The sequence below is a fragment of the Homo sapiens genome, chromosome 13 (genome assembly GCF_000001405.40).
Source record: "Homo sapiens chromosome 13, GRCh38.p14 Primary Assembly".
NCBI lineage: Eukaryota > Metazoa > Chordata > Mammalia > Primates > Hominidae > Homo > Homo sapiens.
Genome location: NC_000013.11, coordinates 45,800,040 through 45,822,318, shown reverse-complemented (window position 1 = coordinate 45,822,318; position 22,279 = coordinate 45,800,040). Strand labels below are relative to the sequence as shown.

Here is a 22,279-nt window from a genome sequence, read left to right as displayed (position 1 = left end):
ATATGTTCACCTCTAGGAAAATTATATTGGAGCTGAAGAACAAGTTCCCAGATCACATTCTAGAAAGACAGCAATTTTTCTGTTCTCTGTTCCTGAATCATGGCAGTGGGACACCATATAGGTCCGCATTGAGACCCCAGTGTCTTCAGAAAAGCTCCCTGTTGCACCAGCTGTCTCAGGGATGATGCTGGGGAGCTTGGACTGGGAGCGCCAAGGAGCCAGATTTCTCTGAGACACTCTGGGTCCACGTGTCACTTGCAGCAGGGGACACATGTCACAAGAGCAAAGGGGTATAGTCCTGCCGGGGACCCACAGGTGTGAAGCATTCCCTACAACGGCCACTGATAACCCTCATAAATCACTCCTGGCTGGTACTCAGGCCCCTACCCCTGCTCTGTGGAGGGTGGTGCTGAAAGATAAGAAGCAGAAATCAACTGGGCACATGAAAAAGAACCTCCAGATATTTCACAGTGAACATTTGTTCTTGTTCTCTCTTCCTACCCAACGTGCTGAGCAACAAACTGTCTCTTGACTGCCTTTTGGCCCCACTCTCATTGATTTTCAACCCAAGAATTGAGCGCAGCTATTTCCTAGGGGCCATGTCTAGGTAATGATATAATTAAGAGGGCCACAGAGTCATTTGCATAACACTTGCTCATAATTAGCATCTTTGCTATAGTTAATTAGGACAATGGTTAAAAATCTCTACGGTGATTTTCCACCTTGAAGTCTAATTATTTTTATGACACCAAATTTTTTTGATGGCATACTATGTGTCAGGCACTCTACTGGGCCATGGGGCAGTAGGTTCAGGCCTTTAAGAACCAATGGCTTTGCTGGGGAGACAAGAAATCAAATTCATGTGACAGTGTGATTGGGCTACTAGTACCTGTATTTGAATCCTAGAGCTGCCACAACAAAGTACCATGAATTAGGTGGCTTGAATAACAGGAATTGATTGTCTCACAGTCCAGGTGTTGGCAGGGCTTGTTCCTTCTAGGCTGTGAGGGATAATTTGTCCCAGGCCTTTCTCCTGCCTAATGGCAGCCTCGGGCATTCCATGGCTTGTAGATGGCATTCTCCCTGTGTCCTCACATCATCTTTTCTATGTGTCTATGTCTGTTTCTGCCTCCAAATTCCACTTTTTACAAAGACACCAGTCATATTAGATTAGGGCCCACCTTAATGACCTCACCTTAATTCAATCAACTTTAAAGACCCTATCTTCAAATAAGGTCACGTCTGCAGGTTCACAGGTACTGGGGTTTAGAGCCTGAACATCTTTTTGGGAGACTATTCAACCCATAATGGTACTCATATATATGCAGAAGGGACAGAGGGGAACACAGAGAAGGAAACAACAGACCTTGGTAGGAGACAGTCTGGGGAGGACGGAGGTGGGGAAATTCCTGGAAGAGAGTATGTTACGTGCAGAGGGCCAGAGGGCAGGCATCAGCCTCCTAGAAACTGGAAAGTCAGTAACGCAGCAGGAAGCAAGTGCCAGGAGCTGCCTGGTTCCCTGGTAAGGCCAGTAAGTTCTGAGGGCCCCAGAACCTGGGAGAGGAGGGGAAAGAGAAGCCCCAGGTAACCCAGAAACTGCAGAAGCAGCCAGGCAGAGTCTGTTTGCTCCGGGAGGGGATTTCGGAGGCTGGTGGAAAAGGAGGGCCGCGGTGGTGGGAGGAGGGCTGGAGGGAATGCTGCTGTTCAATAGTCCTCCGAAATTGCCTGGCTCTACCACCCACACCGTACCATATGTCTGCACACTTCAGAGTTAGAAATCAAATGAACAAACTCTTAAACAAAATATGTTCTCTCCTTCTACCTTTACAAACATAGGCCTTAAACAGTCGGGAAGACCAGGTTCCAGTCACAATCCCTAGATTACAAGGAGCTCCTCACCAGAATGCAGTAGTGTGAGGAGACGCAGCCCCTGGCCCGCAGCCCAGACCCTTCTCGTCCCATCTCTGGCTCCGTCCCCACCACAGGAGGTTCACCTGCATGGTAGCCTGGCTCACTCGTCAAAGCTTCATTTATCTCCCGGCCAACGGAGCTTCTTGACCACCTCTTGGCTTAGGGGTTCGCTCGTGGTGCTGTGAACCATCTGGGGAGGTGCTGTGGTTTGAATGTGTCCCCTCCTAAATTCAGGGTTGAAACTTAGTGGCCAATGTGATGGTATTAAGAGGTGGGGCCTTTAAGAGACACATAAGTCGTGCGGATTCCTCCCTCCTGAATGGGATTAAGGCCCTTATAAAGGAGGCTTCACACAGCATTCGGCTCTCTTGCCCTTCTTCCTCCTGCTATGTGAGGACACGGCGTTCCTTTCCTCAGAGGATGCAGCAGCGAGGCACCATCTCCGAGGCAGACTGCAGCCCTCACCACACGACTGAACCCGCTGACTTCCCAGCCTCCAGAACTGTGAGGAACCCCTTTCTGTTCTTTATAAGTGACCCAGCCTCTGGCATTCTGTTATAGAAGCACAAATAGACCAAGAGAGGAGGGCAGAAGTCCTGCAGGCCCTGGAAGTGGGTTTGGGGCTTTGAGGGAAGAGACTAGGTCCCCGAAGTGATGTCTATCTAAGTCACAGCCCTGGAGACCCTGCCCCTGAGGTGGGCACAGCCAAGGCAGCCAGAGCCAGCCCTCCGACATGCAGGGCCCGTTTTACATATAAGCACAGAGCAATCAGAAGCTATTTCTAAAGCCACATTGTGTGGCCACCCAATAATTATGTTCCTCCTAAATACCAATTTCCACCACAACCTCCTTTTTCTAATTTTCCAAAGTCTGATTTCCTCTTTGCTGTTTTTTTCCCTAATTTGCAGTTATTGGTTTCTTGTAGAGGCCATAATGATCTGACTCTTCCTCAGCGACCACCACTCCTTCCTGTCCCGTCCACCCAGCCATGCCCAACACTGTGCAGCCCAAGGCCATGGCTGCCTCCTGGCTCTGTGAATGGGTGCACACTGTTCTTCCTTGCTTCCTTAAACGCTCCTCCCATCCTGTATCTGTTAGAAGTAAAGTCTAACCCAACAAAACAATCAAAAACAATGGCTCACGTAAAATTCATAGTGTTGCTATATTAAAGCAATCTGGAGGCAAGTAGTCCCTGATGATTTGGTGACAGCAGGGGGCCATCTGGGATCAGGCTCCTTTGACTTTCTACACTGGCCTCTCTTCCTTTCTCTGTGTCGTGCATGGTCAGAAGCTGGTCCTGGTGCTCTGAGCCATCACAAGCACACTGCAGCCAGAGCCCTTTTCGTGGCTCTGGGTCAGCATTTAGCCAGCACCCTGTAAAGGTGGGTTTCCTTGTCCATCTCTTCATTAGAATGTGAGCACCTAAGGGACAAGGACTGCCTTTTATTCATCTCCATACCCCTAACACCCTAGCACATGAAAAGGATTAAGAGTAAAATTGCTTTGCATGAATGACTGTCTTATCATGGTAAACTGATGATGGCCCCCACCGCTGTCCACCTCCTAATCCCAGGAACTTGTGAATGTGACCTTGTGTGGCAAAGTGTTTGTAGATATGACTAAGTTAACCATTTAGATATGGTGAGAATATCTTGGATTATCTGGGTGGGCCCTAAATGCCATCACAATCGCTCTTACAAGAGGGAGATCTGACAAAGGCACACAGAAGAGAAGGTGATGTGAAGACAGAACAGAGAAAGATTTGAAGATGCTGGCCTTGAAATTGCAGTGATGCAGCCACAAGCCAAGGAATGCCAGCTGCCACCAGAAGCTGGAAGAGGAATGATTCTCCTCTAGAGCCTCCGGAGGGAGCGCAGTTCTGCTGATGCCTTGATTTTGGCCCAGTGATAATGATTTCAGACTTCTGGCCTTCAAAACTCTGAGAGCATAAATTTCTGTTTTTTATGCCACCAAGTTTGCTACAGCAGCCATAGGGAAAAACAATGATCTCTTTAGAAGTCATTATTTAACCTAACTAGATGCATGAAAATAGCAAATATACATATCTATGTGTAGGTGTCTTAGCTTGAGTTCTTCCAGGAGCAGACCCTGAAACAAGGACATGAACACAAGTAATTTATTTGGAAGGTGACCTGAAGAAACACCAGTAGGGGAATGAGAACATGAGATACAGATAGAAAGGAAGTCATGCAAGGTGCATTCTCAAGCAAGTTACCACTGCGGGCAGGTGGGCTGCAGTCTCCCTGGGGACCCTGGGAGGTGATGTAGGATACCTCAGAGTTGTCCTGCTCCAGAGGAGGCATCTGGGTATTTTCCTCCAATTTCTCCACATCATTTGTCAATAGCTCCCTCTAGGGCACAGAGTTGCAGGAACTTGCAGTAGGAAGGCATCAGTGAATACAAAAGGGATGCAGGCTGGGCCTCTACTGTACCTTCTGCAACGTAGATAACAGGCAGGTGGTCTCTCCTCACACATACAATAGACAGCAAAAGGGGCACAGCAGGTAAGAGGATAGATTCAGGGCTCTGACAGACCTCAGACCAGATTTTCATCTCTAGAATGGGAATAGCAATGTTGCCTGCCTCTTGGGATTGTTGGGAAGAGTAAAATACATGTATACATATTCTCTTTATGTATAAGCTCTAAGAGAGATTCATCCTTTGCCTCTTCCAGCTTTGGGTGGCTGTTGGCATCCCTTGCCTTGTGGTTGCATCACTCCAGTCTTCGAGGCCAGCATCCTTCACATCTTTCTCTGCTCTGTCTTCACATTGCTTTCTCTTCTGTAGGTCACTCTTCAAAGGTCCCTCTGCCTCCCTCGTATAAGGACACTTGTGATGGCAAGTAGGGCCCACCCGGATAGAATCCAGGATATCTCCACATCTCAAAATCCTTAATTTAATCACATCTGCAAAGACTTTTCCCATCTAAAATTGTGTGTTGTTTACAGAAATACATTCTGAGAAATGCATCAGTAGGCAATTTCATCTTGTGAATATCACAGATTGCACTCACACAGACCTAGATAATCTAGCCTCCTCCACACCTAGGCTATATGGCATAGCCTATTCCTCCTAGGTTACAAACCTGCACAGCATGTGACTATATTGAACATTGTAGGCAATTGTAACAATGGTATTTGTGTATCTAAAAATATCTAAACATAGAAAAGATACATTAAAAATGCAGTGTTATAATCTTATGGGATGACCATTGTATATGGCCTAAACATTGTTATGCAGTGCATGACTCTGTGTGTCTGCGTGTATGTTTACAATTATCCAGGCACTAGTTTAAGTGCTTTTAACAAATTAACTCATTTAATCCTCACAGTAATACTAAAAAGCCAGTGATATTATTCCTATTTTACCCATGTGGAAATTAAGGCATTAGCTAGTAAGGAGAGTAAACAGGATGCAGGATGCATCCCATTGCCTGGTGCAAATTCCTAACCATTATCTAGTACAGCCTTTGTCAATGACATTAGTACCTGGTTCAGTGAAATAATAACCTGGTTGGCAATAATCACTCCATATATTATAGTTATTACTACTGTTCATTGCTACTACCTGTAGGCACATGTAGTTACCGTGGGCTGTTTCTCCCCATGGTCATCATACTCTGAGCTGTCACACTGGATTGGCTGTCTTGGAGCAGGTGAGGGGCAGTTAAATGCTGCCCAGAGTGAAGAGAAACCCTTGCTGAATGTAGGTGATGTCAGAGGGCAGCCTGAGCGCAGCAGCAAGGCGGCCAAGGTGCACAGTGCAGTGAGCCTCTATCTGGGGGAAGTGTGGTTGTGGGGCACGCCCGAGGGGCTGAAGTTGGGAGCGCTATGTTGACATTTACATTTGAATGAATGCCATTCCTCAGGGTTCATAACTCAGCTGTTGTAATTTATAGCAAGGCTTTTAAAAATAGATGAATATTACTTTCCAATCCATATGTTAGTGGAAATAAGTGGCTATAAACACCCTGTCTTCTTTGGCTGGGATATTGCTGTGTTTTTCTGGATAAACCTCACTTCATGTCTTTATTCCAGTTCAGTCATCAGGATCCTAGGATGAAAAGGCCAGCAGAAACAGGGCCTCAAGGGTACCATTCTCTGCAGGGCACCATTCTCTGCAGTCCTTGTGAATAGAGGCAAGGGCTCCTGGAGTTGTACAATGCAGTGGCACAAAACAGATACATCAGCAAGGATGAAGCTTTGACGTCAGCTCCTTCAGGTCTCAATCAGGCCTCACAGGGCAGTGAAGCACAGGGGCCCAGGCCAGCTGCCTGGGCTCCAATCGTGCCTCCATCTGCCTGTGTGCGCCTGAGCATGGCAGCTACATTTCTCTGTGCCTCGGTTTCCTCACCTCTAGAATGGGTGATGATGCTCCGTAACTCGTGGCTTAGCTATGAGCATTAAATGAGATAGGCACGGCATGTGCTTCATGTGGGCCTGGGCTCCTGAAATACATTATAATACAATTTGCTGTGATTTTTGTTGTGGGGATGCCCTGTACTGCCATGTCACCTTAACGGCCTCTGTCGGCTGTGTGGCAGATAAAGAAACTGAATTCTAGGAAGTTAATCCACTTATCTAGACTTGAGTCTCATTTCAGGCTGGGGCAGGAATGAAATTTGTTTTGTTTCGCATTTTCCTACCCAGCCCTCTCACATCATGGAGTGAACAACTGTAATCATCAGGAAGATCTGGGAAGCATGGTCCTTCCTAGTGGATGAGATGTAATGCTTTCAAATGAGTCCAGCAACCTAAAGGGACCTGGGTTTATGCACTGTATTTGTCATGGTTCTCCGGAGACCAGAATGAATAGGATGTCTACATACACACATACATACATATGCACACACACATGTATATAAAGAGAGAGATTTATTTTAAGAAATTGGCTCATGCGATCCTGGTAAGTTCAAAGTCCACAGAACAGGCAGGCAGGCAGACTGGAGACCCAGGGAAGAGCTGATGCTATAGCCGGAGCCCAAAGACAGTCTGTAGGCAGAATTCCTTCTTCCTCAGGAGGCCTCAGTCTGTTTTCTCTTTAGCCTTCAACTGCTTGGATGAGGCTGGCCCACATTATGGAGGGCCATCTGCCTCACTCAAAGTCTTACTGACTTAAATGTTCACCTCATCTAAACAACACCTTCATAGTAACATTTAGCCTAGCATTTGACCAAATATCTGGGTACCATGGCCTAGCCAAGTTGACACATAAAATTAACCTTCACTGCCAGAAAGATGAAATGCCCCTCTCTAGCAAGAGCTGGAATTGTTTGAAATGGTTGATTAAAAAAAAAAAAAAAATGAAGGTCTATTAGGTTGGTGCAGAAGTAATTGCAGTTTCTGTCATTTAAAAGTAATGGCAGGCCGGGCATGGTGGCTCATGCCTGTAATCCCAGCACTTTGGGAGGCCAAGGCAGGCAGATCACTTGAGGTCAGGAGTTTGAGACCAGCCTGGTCAATGTGGTGAAACCCCATCTCTACCAAAAATAAAAAAATTAGCTGGGCATGGTGGCACACACCTATAATCCCAGCTACTCTGGAGGCCGAGGCTGGAGAATCGCTTGAGCCCGGAAGGCAGAGGTTGCAGTGCGAGATCGCACCACTGCACTCCAGCCAGGGCAAGAGAGGGAGCCTCTGTCTCAAAAAAAAAAAGTAATGGCAAAACCCGCAATTACTTTTGCACTAACCTAATACTAGAACTCTGGGGGCAAATAAACTCATGACTTCCCCAGTAGCCCAGAAAGATCTGAGCAGTGTGGGGTTGTGGGGAGGGGCTGAGAAGCTAGGCTGGTGAGAGAGAATGAAGCTTACTAGGGCAGCAGCACCTCACATATGCTGTCTCTTTGGCTGCAAACCTGCTCCGTTTGTTCATCTTTGCCTGCCCAGCTCTTGCTCATCCTCCCAGAGGTCACTTCTAAGAAGCCTTCCATGATTCCCCGAGATGGTGCTGGTTTTCCTGCTAAATATCTCCTGATACCCAGAGCCCACCCCACACCGTGGCACTTTTCCTGAGTAATGTAATTGCCAACTTGCTTGCCAGTTTCTCCCATTGAATTGTCGGCTCCCTGGGGACTATACTCCAAAAACACTTCTTGAATAGATGCATGAGTGTTATGGACTGTATTTTTTTTTTTTTTTTTTTTTTTGAGACAGAGTCTTGCTCAGTCACCCAGGCTAGAGTGTAGTGGTGCCATCTCGGCTCACTGCAAGCTCCGCCTCCCGGGTTCACGCCATTCTCCTGCCTCAGCCTCCCGAGTAGCTGGGACTACAGGTGCCCGCCACCACGCCCGGCTAATTTTTTCGTATTTTTAGTAGAAACGGGGTTTCACCGTGTTAGCCAGGATGGTCTCAATCTCCTGGCCTCATGATCCGCCTGCCTCGGCCTCCCAAAGTACTGGGATTACAGGCGTGAGCCACTGTGCCCGGCCTATGGACTGTATTTTTTATCACCCCAAGATTCATATATTGAAATCTTAACCCCTTTGGAATGTTTTTAAGAGGTGGGGCTTTGGGAGGTAGGTGGGTTTAGATGAGGTCATGAGGGTAGAACCCTTATGATGGTATTAGTGTCCTTTTAAGAAGAGAAAGAACCTAGATCTTTCTCTTCCTCCCTCTCTCTGCCATGTGAGGATACAACAAAAAGGCAGCTGTCTGCAAACTAGGAAGCAGGCCCTCACCAGACACCAGACCTCCCAGGGCCTTGATGTTGGACTTCCTCGCCTCCAGAACTGTGAAATATTAGGTTGGTGCAAAAGTAATTGAGTATTTTAGCATTACTTTTAAATGGCAGAAACTGCAATTACTTTTGCAACAACCTAGTAAGTGTCTGTTGTTTAAGCCCCTGAGCCTATATTCTGTTATAGTAGCCCAAACTGACTAAGATGGATGATGAATGAAAGAATGAATGACTCTGTAATGCTGGGGAATAGGGCTTGTGGTCACCAAGCTGGCCAAGGGGGCAGAGCCCTAGGGACAACATTCTCCAGGCTCCCTGACACCAAGTCTTGGGCTTTTCCTTTTGCTACCTTTGCTCTGGGGAGGCCAGACAGCCTCTTTCCCATCCTCTCTCTCTCCTTATTTCAACTGCATGACAGCATCACAGACTGAAAGAGCTGAATGCAGCCTGGTGCCAGGACTCAGTACTGATATAGGCTCACCATGTTCCCACTGGGTCCGGGACTCAGTACTGACACAGGCTCACCATGTTCCCACCGGGTCTGGGACTCAGTACTGACACAGGCTCACCATGTTCCCATCAGGTCCGGGACTCAGTACTGACCCAGGCTCACCACGTTCCCACTGGGTCCAGGCAATCGCCTTCTAAGTGTGAACAGTGCAGACAGCCAGGGCAGGACACCCCCTCACTTCCCTACCATCCAGATGGGAGCCCAGAAGGCCTGGATGGGCTTCAATACACTGGCTTCCTTCTCCTGGGAAGACACGGCCTCACATTTCCAGCCCAGGAGGAGACTTGCACCTTTATTTGCTTCCTGCATTTGAGCATGTGAAGACATGCAAAACTTTCTCCAATTGTCCTAACTTCCCTTGTGTGTTTTATCTGCAAAGCCTTTTATGTCACTAGTGCAACAAAAAATCCTAGGAAATTCCTGTTTAGTCATGCTGGGATCTCAGGCTTCATTCTCAACACTCAGTGAAAGCTTCCTTACCTGGTTGCTATTTGGAGTGTGAGTGTGAGCATGTGTGTGTGTCTGTGTGTGTGTGTTATATATTTATGCACCCATATGCATCACAGGAAAGCATAGCATTAAGGAAGCTGTACCCCGGGGTCCTAGTAATTCTGTGTCATGATAGCAATCATTATAATCATTATAATCTTAGCCACCTGCTGTTCCTGAATAAATGTGAGGATTAATGGAATGCTATTAATAATGTTCCTTGAGTCCTTAGGGAAAGCTCTTTAGCAGGCACTAATTTTAACCTCTCTCAAGTGAAAAGAAAAAAAGGATGAACTGGCAATTGGACCACATCCCAGCCTCTGCTGGCTGTGTCCTAGCCTGGGACCTTGGGCCAGTCATGTAACCCTTCTGATCCTGTCTCCTTGTCTATAAAATGGGCTCACAGGGCTTGTCTGTCCCCTTTCCTGGGGTTTAGGTGAGGATGAAACAAGATGGTATCAGTGAATGTCCTTGAAAACTGGAAAGCATGGGACATAGGAGCACACTTGGACCTACATCATCAGCCCTCAGGCTGTGTCTGCATCAGGCAGCGTGGGCATCACCTGGAAGTTCTTCTGCAGAATTCCCTGGGTCCATTCCAAACATGACTCACTTGTTTCTGCTCCATCTCCACCGGTGCTGGGCGGCATCCTTTTGGTGAATGGCATTGAACTAACAGTTGTGCATCGGGGAGAGTGGGGCTGGAGTCTCTGAAAGTTCAGAGGGAGACTTCCCATGGGATTCCAGTGCAGGCATGCCCAGGCCAGAACCCTTCTCATAACTAAACCAGGCTGAAAGTTGTCTGGTTCTTCGGAGACAGAATTGCCTTCCCTTTGGTAGACTCTTTTCCTAAAATGACCTCCAGTCCCTAGGTCAGTAGAGGTGAATGCACCCAAGAGGCAAAAATGAAGAAGCCTGGCTGAGGCATACTTGGAAAGATAAAGTGAATGACCATGAAGGTGGCTATCTCCTGCCCTGAACTCTGACTTCAGAACGCTAGGATCCTGAAGTGGTTTCCTGAGATGCAATGAAAATATCATCTGTGAGTTTCATTAGAAGTGCTTTGCCAAATACAAAAATTAGCTGGGTGTGGTGGCATGCCCCTGTAGTCCCAGCTACTTGGGAGGTTGAGGATGGAGGATTGCTTTAGCCCAGGAGGTCAAGGATGCAGTGAGCCTTGATCATACCACGGCATTCCAGCCTGGGCAACAGAATAAGACCGTGTCTCAAAAAAAAGTACTCTTTCAGGCAACAGAGCAAGACCGTGTCTCAAAAAAAGTACCCTTTCAAAACGTTCTATTACATATCAACAAAGATTAATTACAGAGTTTTCAAAGTCTAGTTAGCCTGAAAACATTCATTTCTGTTAGGAAATATTCATTGCCCTCACCATGGCCAGAGTACAAATATCACCACCTCTCACCCTCTCCAACTAGTCCTGCCTCACTAAGCTCAAAGGAGAAGAATCATTACCATCATTACCATCACCACCACCAGCACTCATTACCAACTACTGTGTCCCAGGCAATATGCCAAAGTTTTAAATGAAATTCTTTTTAATTCTTGAAATCACCCTATTATTGTTCTGATTTTACAAATGACACTCTGAGAGGTTAAGTAACTTTGCCCAGGTTGCACAGCAAATGAACAGCTGAACCAGGACTCAGCCTTAGGGTTCCAAAGCTCATTCTCTTAATCTCTTTCCTATTTTGCCTCTGTCAGTCATACCAGAACAATCCTTCAACCACATGTCCATGGAAGCCAACCAACAGATATGGGTATGCAAGCAGTACATTCTCTTTTCTTCTCACTCTGTTCCTGCTTTCTGCAAAGTTCACCCCAGGCATTTCCAGGCCCCATGCATGCAGACACTCTTTCTCACTAAAAGGTCCATGGCAACAATGCACCAGAGAAGCAGGGGATGTTTGCCTCTTCCTATCTCTAGAGCCATCCATAACTGACCAGCAGCGACAATGCAGAGCCAAATTTTAGCAGTAGAATTTCTTCAAATTAAACATTCTTGGGAGTATGAATTCTAGACTCCCATCATACTGCAGCACATTTTTTCTCAATGTCTTTGTCTCTGACCATAAGCCCAGGAGAGGAGAAACCAACCAGCCCCAGGCAAACGCACTGGGACAAAATTCCAGTCTACATGGGTCCCTGTCACCACATTTTTCTATTTCCAGAGGGTGATTTTCTCCAATTCCAGAACACATCAATACCTCCATATGTAAGCCACCAAACACCAGCTGCCGGTAGCAGAGTTTGAAAAATACCTCCTGGATTTTAAGTATCCAGAGTGGTTTGCGGCAGCACTATAGCGGCCTGACAACCACACACACAAGAGTCAAGATATATGTGAGCTTCTGGTGCAGACTATTCCTCACCCAGGCACTGGTGCTGAACAGGACTTCATCCATCCATTCAGCTGACTAGCCATGATGGAGCGTCCCAGTGAATGACGGATAGGACTGGGCCACTCGTCTCTGATCTCCTTTGGGTAGTCCAGGTGGGACTGAGCATCCTCAGGAGGCTGGTGTCTCCTGAGGGAGGATGGAGAGTTCAGGGTCCAGAATGTTGGCTGTGGGCCCTGTTGTCTAAGTGACCTTTGTTGGACTGTGCCTTCAGGTCGCTGCCTCAGGGCTCTGGGCTGCTTTAGGAACTTTGGGGGCTGTGACTCAGGACTAGCTCGACCAGGGAGCCCATGGCAACGTGACAAGCTTCTGCCTGGGCTGCTGAAAGAAGTTCTAAACAGAGGCAGATTTCTTGGTTTGGTTTTGCTTTTGCTTTTGCTTTGTTCATTTTGTTTTGTCTCCCCCTTGACTACATTATTCTTGAAACAACATTTAGTTTTTTAAATTATAAAAGTAGTATTTATTCTGTACAGACATCTGTAAAATATGGAAAGCCACTAAGAAAAAAACTGCCTGTAATTCCACCCAGAGATAACCACAATTATCTGGTTCTTTTGCTTTCAGTAATTTATTAAATGCAATACATTTGATTGTATTTTTTATAAAAGCATTAAATCATATTATGCATATATAGTTTTACCTTACTTTTTTAAAAAGCTATATATTGTAAACATTTTACAATATCAGAATGCAGGTAGGGACTTCTTGGGTAAGCAGTATGGGGTCTTTCCAGCCCAGTAATTTCTGATTTCAATCTTAGCCAGGCTAGAGAAAGAGGGCCCAAATTATTGATATTCTCGACTGAAACTTTCCTTATGGTAGCAAAGCAGACAATTCTGCCCTGGCAATTTCTCCATGAGGCCCGGCCTCTCAATCTCTGGTCAGCATATATGATTTATCTGGGCCGTCTGTTATAATGTCCAGAGATTCTGATTCTGCAGATTTGTGGACACAAAAACATGTCTAGCACGTGTAATGATTTCCAGACCACAGTCTATAAATTTCTGGTGTAGCCTTAAGGGTGGAACAAAACTTACAGAGTCCATTTAAAGGTCTCAGTTCTGCGGAGCCCCCAACACACGCATTCTCCCCACCTTAAGTCCTAGAGGCTTAGGCAATTACCTTGAGGCAGCAGTCACTGAAAGTTCAGAGGTTATGCAGCGCAGCCTCAGGATTTATGTCCACTTCAGGAGTCATTGACCCACATCAACTTCTTTTATGAGTCAGGACCAGGCAGGGATCATCAATATTGTTACAATAGGGTTGGAAGCCCACTCATTCACTGTGTGGGATGTACTGCCGAAGGCGAAAATGGAGGCCTCAGAGCCTCCTTGTTTAGCTTTTAGGTTTACTTTGCCTTATCAGATGCGAAATGGGTACAAGTCTTAAACATATTCATAATTTGAGATGTGCAATAGATATAACATTCTTTTCTCTATAACTGAATTTAATATATATTCTGGTTCCCATTCCATCAAGAATGGAAACCTAATTTTAACCAGGATGGAGATTCCCTACTGTGCCCAGTGTTGAGTCCAAGTTTTGGGGGGCCTATGAAGTAATGTTCTGGTAGATAAAAGTATGCACGTACATATGGACATAAGTTTATTATAAATTTTACTGATATAAAGTATGTGTAATACAATTTACAAATAATAACAAAATATACAATATTCTTTATTTTAAATTTCATATAACTACACAGAATGTATTTATTGGTTTTGTTGAACTCTTGTATCTGTAGCCAACCTACAGTTACAATTCAGCCGTTGTTTAACAAAATTAGACTATGTTGGCTATCTAGTTCATAGAAAAAGTCACCATGTCATTGATGAATGTGTGTGACTTAAATATGAATGTTGGTTGATGTTTTCTTTTATGTTAACAGATAAAAGTGAAACAACAAAGATAAATGTCAGATTATCACTCACTGCTCAGTGACGTGAACTATTTATTTGCTGAGTTGGATAATAGTCTTAGGATACTAAAAGACTATTTCTGTAATTTTTTGTGCTGTTTAACACAAAGTAACACCTATATACCAGGACACTTTTAGGTATAGTTTGCCCTTATTAACATTTTCTTCATCACTTTCTTCAGTCTACTCTAGAAAATCAACAAAACAGAAAATCAAGCCCTGATTTATAGCATTTGCCAGTTTCCATGGTGTAAATATTCCCACCATGACTAATTTTAAGCTACCAACACAACATCACCGCACATGAAGTTGGGAAGAGGTTTTTAGTATTTCTACCATATAGATACAGATACAAATACAGATTTACAGATATGTAAGCAACCTCAAGAACACATTTAATAGCAAAATATAATAAAATATTTAGGAAGTAATGAGCTTTGAGTATTTACTACCTGGGTTGTTAATATAAGTTATTTAATTCTGTTTGTTTAATTTTAACAATGGCTGTGTTTAACAATCAGCTCACAAAATTTCTAAAACTTCAACAATTAGCTCTTGTGAGCTAATACACTACTGGGCATATGCAATGTCAATGATTCGATTTGGAGGGCATTCTTTCTAGCTGTTGTCATCCATCCATATTGACACCACTGAGAGTCCTTGCTGCCATCTGGTGTCCAGTCATTGGTCACAGCAAATTGCTGCTGTGTCCTGACTTTTTTACACTGAGTCTTCTCTAGGTCCCTAAGTTCTCTCTTGCTTCTATGCCTCTCTAGACGAATGGGGAATACAGATTTAAAAACTCAGTAGGAGTAGGGGATTTTTTTTTCTCTAATAATATACAATGCTAAACTTCCTGCTCTACTAAATCTAATAAATAGAACTATAAGTATTTGGTTCTCTGTGCTGTTCTAACAATCTGCTTTGTTTTCTCATGCACTTGAATCACCATGTTTTAATACTGTAGCTTTATTCTATGTTTTACAATTTTATTGAATAGTCTCCTTCATAACTATTTATTTTTCAGCAATCTGACTATAATTGCACATTTATTTTTTCATATAAACTTTTTAAATCACTTGAGTTTTTTTTTTTTAGTATTCTGGTGTATTTATTACAATCTTGTTAATTTTAGGGAATGTCAACATATTTATAACAGTGAATCATCGTATTGAATAGATGATACTTTTATTTATTCAATTCTTTCTTAGAGTTCTTCTGTAGCATTTTACGTTTTTTTCTTATAGCCTGTGACTGTTTCCTATAAAATTTATTCCAAGGTATTATTTTTAATATGAACAGCTACTTCTTATTTGAAAGTGTGAAAATTATTGATTTGTATTTACTAAATTTGTGCTTTACTGAATTCTTCAAATTTTATGATTTTTTCCAGTTGGTTCTCTCATTTCCAAACTTTTATACCTTTTATTTCTTTTTCCCATCAAATTGCATTGGCTACTTCCTGTGGAATGTTAAATAACAGTAATATAGTGAACATTCATGGTTTGTTTCTGATTTCAGTGATGCTTCCAGAGTGTACCCACTAAAAATGTCAGTCTACTTGTTAAGGAAGTTTCTGTCTTTTACTATTAGTGTAACAGTTTTATTGAAATAAAATTCACATACCTTTAAATTTTTATTTATTTTCTTCAGCTTTTAAGTTTAGGGGGTAAATGTGCAGGTTTGTTACATGGGTAAATGACGTGTCACTAAGGCTTGGTATATGAATAATCCTGTCATCCAGGTAGTGAGCATAGCACGCAATAGATACTTTTTCAACCATTGTCTTCCTTCCACCCTCCCCACTCTCATAGTCCCCAATGTCTATTGGTGCCATCTTTATATGCGTGTGTACTCAATGTTTAGCTCCCTGTTGTAAGTGAGAACATGTGGTATTTGGTTTTCTGTTCCTGCATTACTTCGCTTAATATCATGGCCTCTAGCTCCATCCATGTTGCTGCAAAGGATATAATTCGATTCACTTTTATGGCTGTGTAGTATTCCATGGTGTATATGTACCACATTTTCTTTATCCAGTCCACCATTGATGGGGACCTGGGTTGATTCCATGTCTTTGCTATTGTGAGGAGTGCTGTGATGAAAATATGAGTGTGTTTATCTTTTTGGTAGAACAATGTCTTTTCCTTTGCATATATACTCCATAATGGAATTGCTGGGTCAAATGGTAGTTCTGTTTTAAATTATTTGAGAAATCTCCAAACTGCTTTCCACAGTGGCTGAACTAATTTACATTTCCACCAACAGTATATAAATGTTCCCTTTTCTTCACAACCTCATCAACATGTTATTTTTTGTCTTTTTAATAGCCATTCTGATGGGGACAAAATGGCATCTCATTGTGGTTTTGATTTGCATTTCTCTGATGATTAATGATGTTGAGGATTATTTCATATATTTGTATGTCACATGTATGTCTTCTTTTGAGAAGTGTCTGTCATGTCCTTTGCCCATTTTTAATGGGGTTATTTGGTTTTGCTTGTTGAATTAGGTTTCTTATAGATTCTGGACATTAGACTGTTGTCAGATGCATAGTTTGCAAATATTTTCTACCATTCTATAAATTGTCTGTTTAGCCTGTTAATAGTTTCTTTTGCTGTGCAGAAGCTCTTTAGTTTAATTAGGTCCTACTTGTCAATTTCTGTCTTTGTTGCAATTGCTTTTAGGGACTTAGTTATAAATTCTTTGCCAAGGCCACTGTCCAGAATGGTATATCCTAGTTTTCTTCTAAGATTTTTATAGTTTGAGGTCTTACATTTCAGTTTTTAATCCATCTTGAGTTAATTTTTATATATGGCGAAAGGTAGAGGTCCATTTTCATTCTTCTGCATATAGCTGGCTAATTATCCCAGCACAATTTATTGAATAGGGAGTCCTTTTCCCATTGCTTGTTATTGTCAACTTTATCAAAGATCAGATTATTGTAATTGTGCAGCTTTATTTTTGGGTTCTCTATCCTGTTCCATTGGTCTATGGTCTGTTTTTATACCAGTATCGTGCTGTTTTGGTTACTGTAGCTTTGTAGTATAGTTTGAAGTCAGGTAGTGTGATGCCTCCAACTTTCTTCTTTTTGCTTCATATTGCTTTGGCTATTCGCACTCTTTTTTGGTTCCATATAAATTTTAGAATAGTTTTTTTCTAATTCTGTGAACGGTAATGTTGATAGTTTGATAGGAATAGCATTGAATCTGTAGATGGCTTTGGGCAGTATGGCCATTTTGACAATATTGGGCATAGGAAGCTTTTTCATTTGCTTGTATCATCTATGATTTCTTTCAGCAGTGTTTTGTAGTTCTCCTTGTAGAGATCTTTCACTTACTTGGTTAGATGTATTCCAAAGTATTTTGTGTGTGTGTGTGTGTGTGTGTGTGTGTGTGTGTGTGTGTGTGTGTTATAAATGGGATTGAGTTCTTGATTTGACTCAGCTTGAACATTATTGGTGTATAAAATGCTACCAATTTTTGTACATTGATTTTGTATCCTAAAATTTTACTGAAGTCGTTTATCATCTCTAGGATCCTTTTGGTGGAGCCTTTAGGGTTTTCTAGGTATAGAATCATGTCATCAATGAAGGGAGATACTTGGACTACTTATTTTCCTGTTTGGATACCTTTTATTTCCTTCTCTTGCCTGATTGCTCTGGCTTGGACTTCCAATACTACGTTGAATAGGAATAGTGAGAGTGGCCATCCTTGTCGTGTTTCAGTTCTTAAGGAGAATGCTTCCAGCTTTTGCCCCTTTAGTATAATGTTGGCTGTGGGTTTGTCATAGATGGCTTTTAATATTTTGAGTTATCACATACCTTTTAAAGTGTATAATTCAATTGATTTTAGTATATTCACGGAGTTGCACAACCATTACCGCTATCTAATTTTAGAATGTTTTCAACACCCCAAAAGAAATCCCATATTTGTTAGCAACCACTCCACTCTACCCTCCCTCCAACCCTTGGCAACCCATCTTTTTTCTGTATCTGTGCATTTGCCTATTCTGGACAGTTCATGTAAATAGAATTATATAATATGTGATCTTTCGCCACTGGCTTCTTTGACTTAACATAATGTTTTCAAGGTTTATCTATGTTGTAGCATGTAGTAATAACAATATATTAATATTAAACACATTAATAGAATTAATAGTAATAACAAACTTGCCTAAATAATATATAGCTTTTATTTTTAAAAATATAATATGTATGCCCTCCCCAAGCTTGCATTTTTGACATTAAAGTTAACTTTTAAATTAAAAGTTTTTAATTGGGGAAGAAAAAATATATGTAAAATAATTATTTTTGTAAAAGTTCCAGCCACAGTTTACTTTTTAGGAATCAATGTGTTTTCAGTGTATAATTGTACATATCTCTACAAATCGGTTGTAGGTAATTGGATAAAAATATGGATTTTGTAACTGCTACCAGTCTTATATCCTTCTTTACATCTTACCCCACCTACCTGGAATTTTTTATTAGGAGTTTTCTTATGTCATCCTTGTCCATATCCCCCTTAAAATCCTTCAGTGGCACACCAAAGCCTTCATAACAAGACTCAAACTCCTTAGCAGTCTTGATAACAGGACTCAAACTCCTTATACATAGCTCTTCTATGCTATGTATAGCATAGAAGCTATGTATAGGGGCCTCTTCTGTGTAATTTCTCATCATTCTCACCCACCTGGACATCAACTACCTTGACCTTCCAGGATTGCTGAACTATTTGTAACTTTCAGGGCTGCTGAATTCTATTGCTTTTTGTCTACCTGAATGTTCTTTTCTTCTCCCTATAAATGGTCCTTTGCCAAGATAATTCCCATTCATCCTTCAAGGCCCAGCTCACTTACGACCTCCTCCATGAGACCTTCCTTGGCCAGAGTTTTCTCATTGTCTTTCCTCTGTGTTCCCACAGCTCCCTGGGCTTATTTCTATCATAGCATTTATCACACATTCCTTGTAGTTGTCTATTTTCCAGCCAACCCCCCATTAGACTGTACATCCTTTTGTGGACAGACACTGGGTATTATTTATCATTTTGTCACCAGGATCTGGCACATGAAAGAGGGCTGATAAAGTTTGATGAACGAATGAATGAATGAATAAAACTAAATCCATATACTCCAGCTTTAGGCATTTGAATAGGGACTACCTGATCACTTGCTGTGTATGCACCTGTGACCTAAGACAGAGCTATAGAAAATGCAGGCCTCACTTTCAAACTACTTAAAAGATTAAGGCACTCCTGCCCACACCCTGCCAAACAGGCTTTCTAGTCTGCGGCTGCCTTTTTTTTTTTTGACAGAGTTTTGCTCTTGTCACCCAGGCTGGAGTGCAGTGAGCGATCTCAGCTCACTACAACCTCCTTCTCCCAGGTTCAAGCAATTCTCCTGCCTCAACCTCTTGAGTAGCTGGGATTATAGGCGGCCGCCACCACGCCCAGCTAATTTTTGTATTTTTAGTAGAGATGGGGTTTCACCATGTTGGCCAGGCTGGTCTTGAACTCCTGACCTCAGTTGATCCACCTGCCTTGGCCTCCCAAAGTACTGGGATTACAGGCGTGAGCCACCACGCCTGGCCTGCAGCTGCCTTGATCCAGCCTCCTTGCTCTGACTTCTTTATCTAGCCTAATGCATATTAATTTGGGATGGCAACCTGCCGAATGTAGATCTGGAGCTAGCTGGGGGCTTCATAAGTCTCACCAAGGCCTCTGATCTCTGTTTTAGAATATTGCATTATCCCAGAGTGTCCCCACGGCCTATCCCAAGGTATCAGTTGGGGCTTCTAGTGACAGTAAATGTAGCTCCCTAGTGTCTGGGAGTGAATACCTCTGCTGAAAATCATCGTAAATATCCAGAAGCTTTTCCCATTATCCTTTCTGCTCAGGGGTCACATTCCCACATCCAAAAGAAGGACTAACTCAACAGTTCCTTCACTGCCTCACTGCACCTCGCCCCCTAACCCCACTCTCATCATTAGGTCCAGAGCTCAGTGACTAGAAAAGACAACTCCTGCCACCCTGCCACTTTACCAAACTTTCTTCTTCTTGCTTTTATTTTTTGTTGAGATGGAGTCTCGCTCTGTCACCCAGGCTGGAGAGCAGTGGCACAATCTTGGCTCACTGCAGCATCCACCTCCCGGGTTCAAGAGGTTCTCTTGCCTCAGCCTCCAGAGCAGCTGGGATTACAGGTGCATGCCACCACGCCCAGCTAATTTTTGTATTTTTAGTAGAGATGGGGTTTCACCATGTTGGCCAGGCTGGTCTCAAACTCCTGACCTCAAGTGATCCACCGCTTCAGCCTCCCAAAGTGCTGGGATTTTACAGGCGTGAGCCACCACGCCCGGCCCCAAACTTTCTTACTCTGCAACAGTCTTTCAGTTGATTCTTCTGTGTAATATCACAGTTTCCAAAAACGGCATTTTCCCTTCCTGCTACCCATGTCCTCCAGTGAATCAGCATGGACAGGCAGGATTTCCACCAAAACCCAGCCCTGCTGCCCCTTGATATCTTCATCTGCTTGCCTAGACTAATGCCTGGAGCATGCAGAATATCAGCCAGCAGATGTTATTGCCCAGGTAACCAAAGCATTTGACCTTACCTATATTCAAATTTACATGAGGTACTAGGTATGAAAACACTTTGTAAAATGCTGAAATGATGGTTCAAGGTAATAGTTCTTGACCAGAGAGATGGCATAGGAATAATGTAACACGTTATTAAGTATATGTTGACCCCTAGCTGTGTGAAAGGCTGTATACACACACATTTTCATTGCAATTTTTAGTCCCTAATATTATAAAACATATAATATTCAATACAGCCTGCAAGTCATGGTCACATATCCAGGACATGGAACCAATCAAGTGTTGTGAAACTCCTTCCGTCTTTCTTACTCTCGTCTTGCTTTCAAAGCTCTCTGTAATCTGATTGCACCTTCCTTACTTAGCCTCATTTCTCCTTGTTCTCTCAAGGCCTCATCAGTCGGTGGAAAGCACAGCTCCTCCCTGCATTCAGGGATGTCCTCTGTCTTCCAGGAGTGCTCACCTCTCATCCCTTCACTATCCAGAGTTCCTCTATTGTTTCTGACCCATTTCAAGTGTCACCCCCAACACAAACCTTTTCCTGCAATTCAAGCCATTTGGTACTGAGGGAGAATGTACCCTGTATCACTCCATGCACACATATATTGCAAAAGCATATGGCTTCACATATGTCAGGCGCTGGCGAACTCCCGGAGGCCAAAATAGCAACGTCTACAGCCATGCCCCCCCCCGCCACCCATCACTTCACCCAGTGTCCAGCATATTCTAGTTGCTTCACAGGCATATGCTGATGGATCCTAGTAGAACATGACCCTGAGCCTAAAATCAAAGGTGGACACAGGCAGAGTCTACCCTTCTCATGGGATCATTGTGGAAGCGAGGTTTCATCCCTTTCCCTCTTGTGAACATGGCGCCAGGAGAGGTCGCCCACAAAGACGATGTTCTATCTCATTACCAATTCAGTGCCCATGGAAGCCCTTGCCAGGGCCCTTAATTTCTTGTGTTAAAACAACAAACGAGGTGACCCAAGCACAATCTCTAATAGGTAGCATGGGTCAACAATTATTCATTTGTACTAGTGCTTTTCGCATGACGGGCTGAGATGAAAATTTGTCCTCTTCCTAGCAAGAGCTATAAATTAGTTTTATGCCACTGTTAAAACCAGAGGCAGAAAAGGAAGGGATTGGAAGTGGGGGAGGCTCAGCGAATAAGGCCTGGCTGCTTCCAACAACAAAGCAAGCTGCTTTTGGGGCCATCTGAACAAGGAAGGTTGAGGGTGGGCAGCAGAGGTCAAGAGATTGGGCCCAAAAGAAATCGACACAGTGACTCTGAGAAAAGACAGCAAATTCTTTGAGGCTCTGAACTACACTTTATTTTTCTTTTCATCCACAATATCTGGCAGGTTTGCTGAATCGATGAACAAATAAATAATTGGATGCATGAAGCAATTGTGTCTCTCTTCGCTAGGTTTGAATAAAACCAATTATGCTACATTCATATGAGTTCTCCAAGGCCAATGGAGCCACCAAAAATAATGGTGTTCAGCTACATCTCTTGACGCATATAGTTCCACAAGATATCAAGTAGAAAAAAAACAGTTTACAAGACTACAAGTGCAATATTTAGGCATTTATGTCGAAAATGGCATTGAAAGAAGTACACGCCAAAATGTTAACAGTGGTACTATCAGGATGGTGCTATTCTGAGAGTTTTCTATTCTTTTCTTTATACTATGCAGGCTATTCTAAATATTTTGTGATGAGAATACATGATCTCCTAATCAGAAA

The 22,279-nt window shown here is 43.2% G+C and overlaps 1 protein-coding gene across 1 annotated transcript in view, besides 2 other annotated features; it reads left to right on the top strand.

The window, feature by feature from the left end:
• The window catches only part of SIAH3 (siah E3 ubiquitin protein ligase family member 3), a 74,512-nt gene that overhangs the window by 29,435 nt on the left and 22,798 nt on the right, over window positions 1-22,279 (top strand). The window lies entirely within an intron of this gene.
• Window positions 5,211-5,711: an enhancer, noted in NCBI's record as "H3K4me1 hESC enhancer chr13:46390743-46391243 (GRCh37/hg19 assembly coordinates)". NCBI's record gives its function as "activates a minimal SCP1, AML or CMV promoter by ChIP-STARR-seq in naive H9 embryonic stem cells {active_cell/tissue: H9 hESC(naive)}" and the evidence as "EXISTENCE:reporter gene assay evidence [ECO:0000049][PMID:30033119]".
• Window positions 5,712-6,212: an enhancer, noted in NCBI's record as "H3K4me1 hESC enhancer chr13:46390242-46390742 (GRCh37/hg19 assembly coordinates)". NCBI's record gives its function as "activates a minimal SCP1, AML or CMV promoter by ChIP-STARR-seq in naive H9 embryonic stem cells {active_cell/tissue: H9 hESC(naive)}" and the evidence as "EXISTENCE:reporter gene assay evidence [ECO:0000049][PMID:30033119]".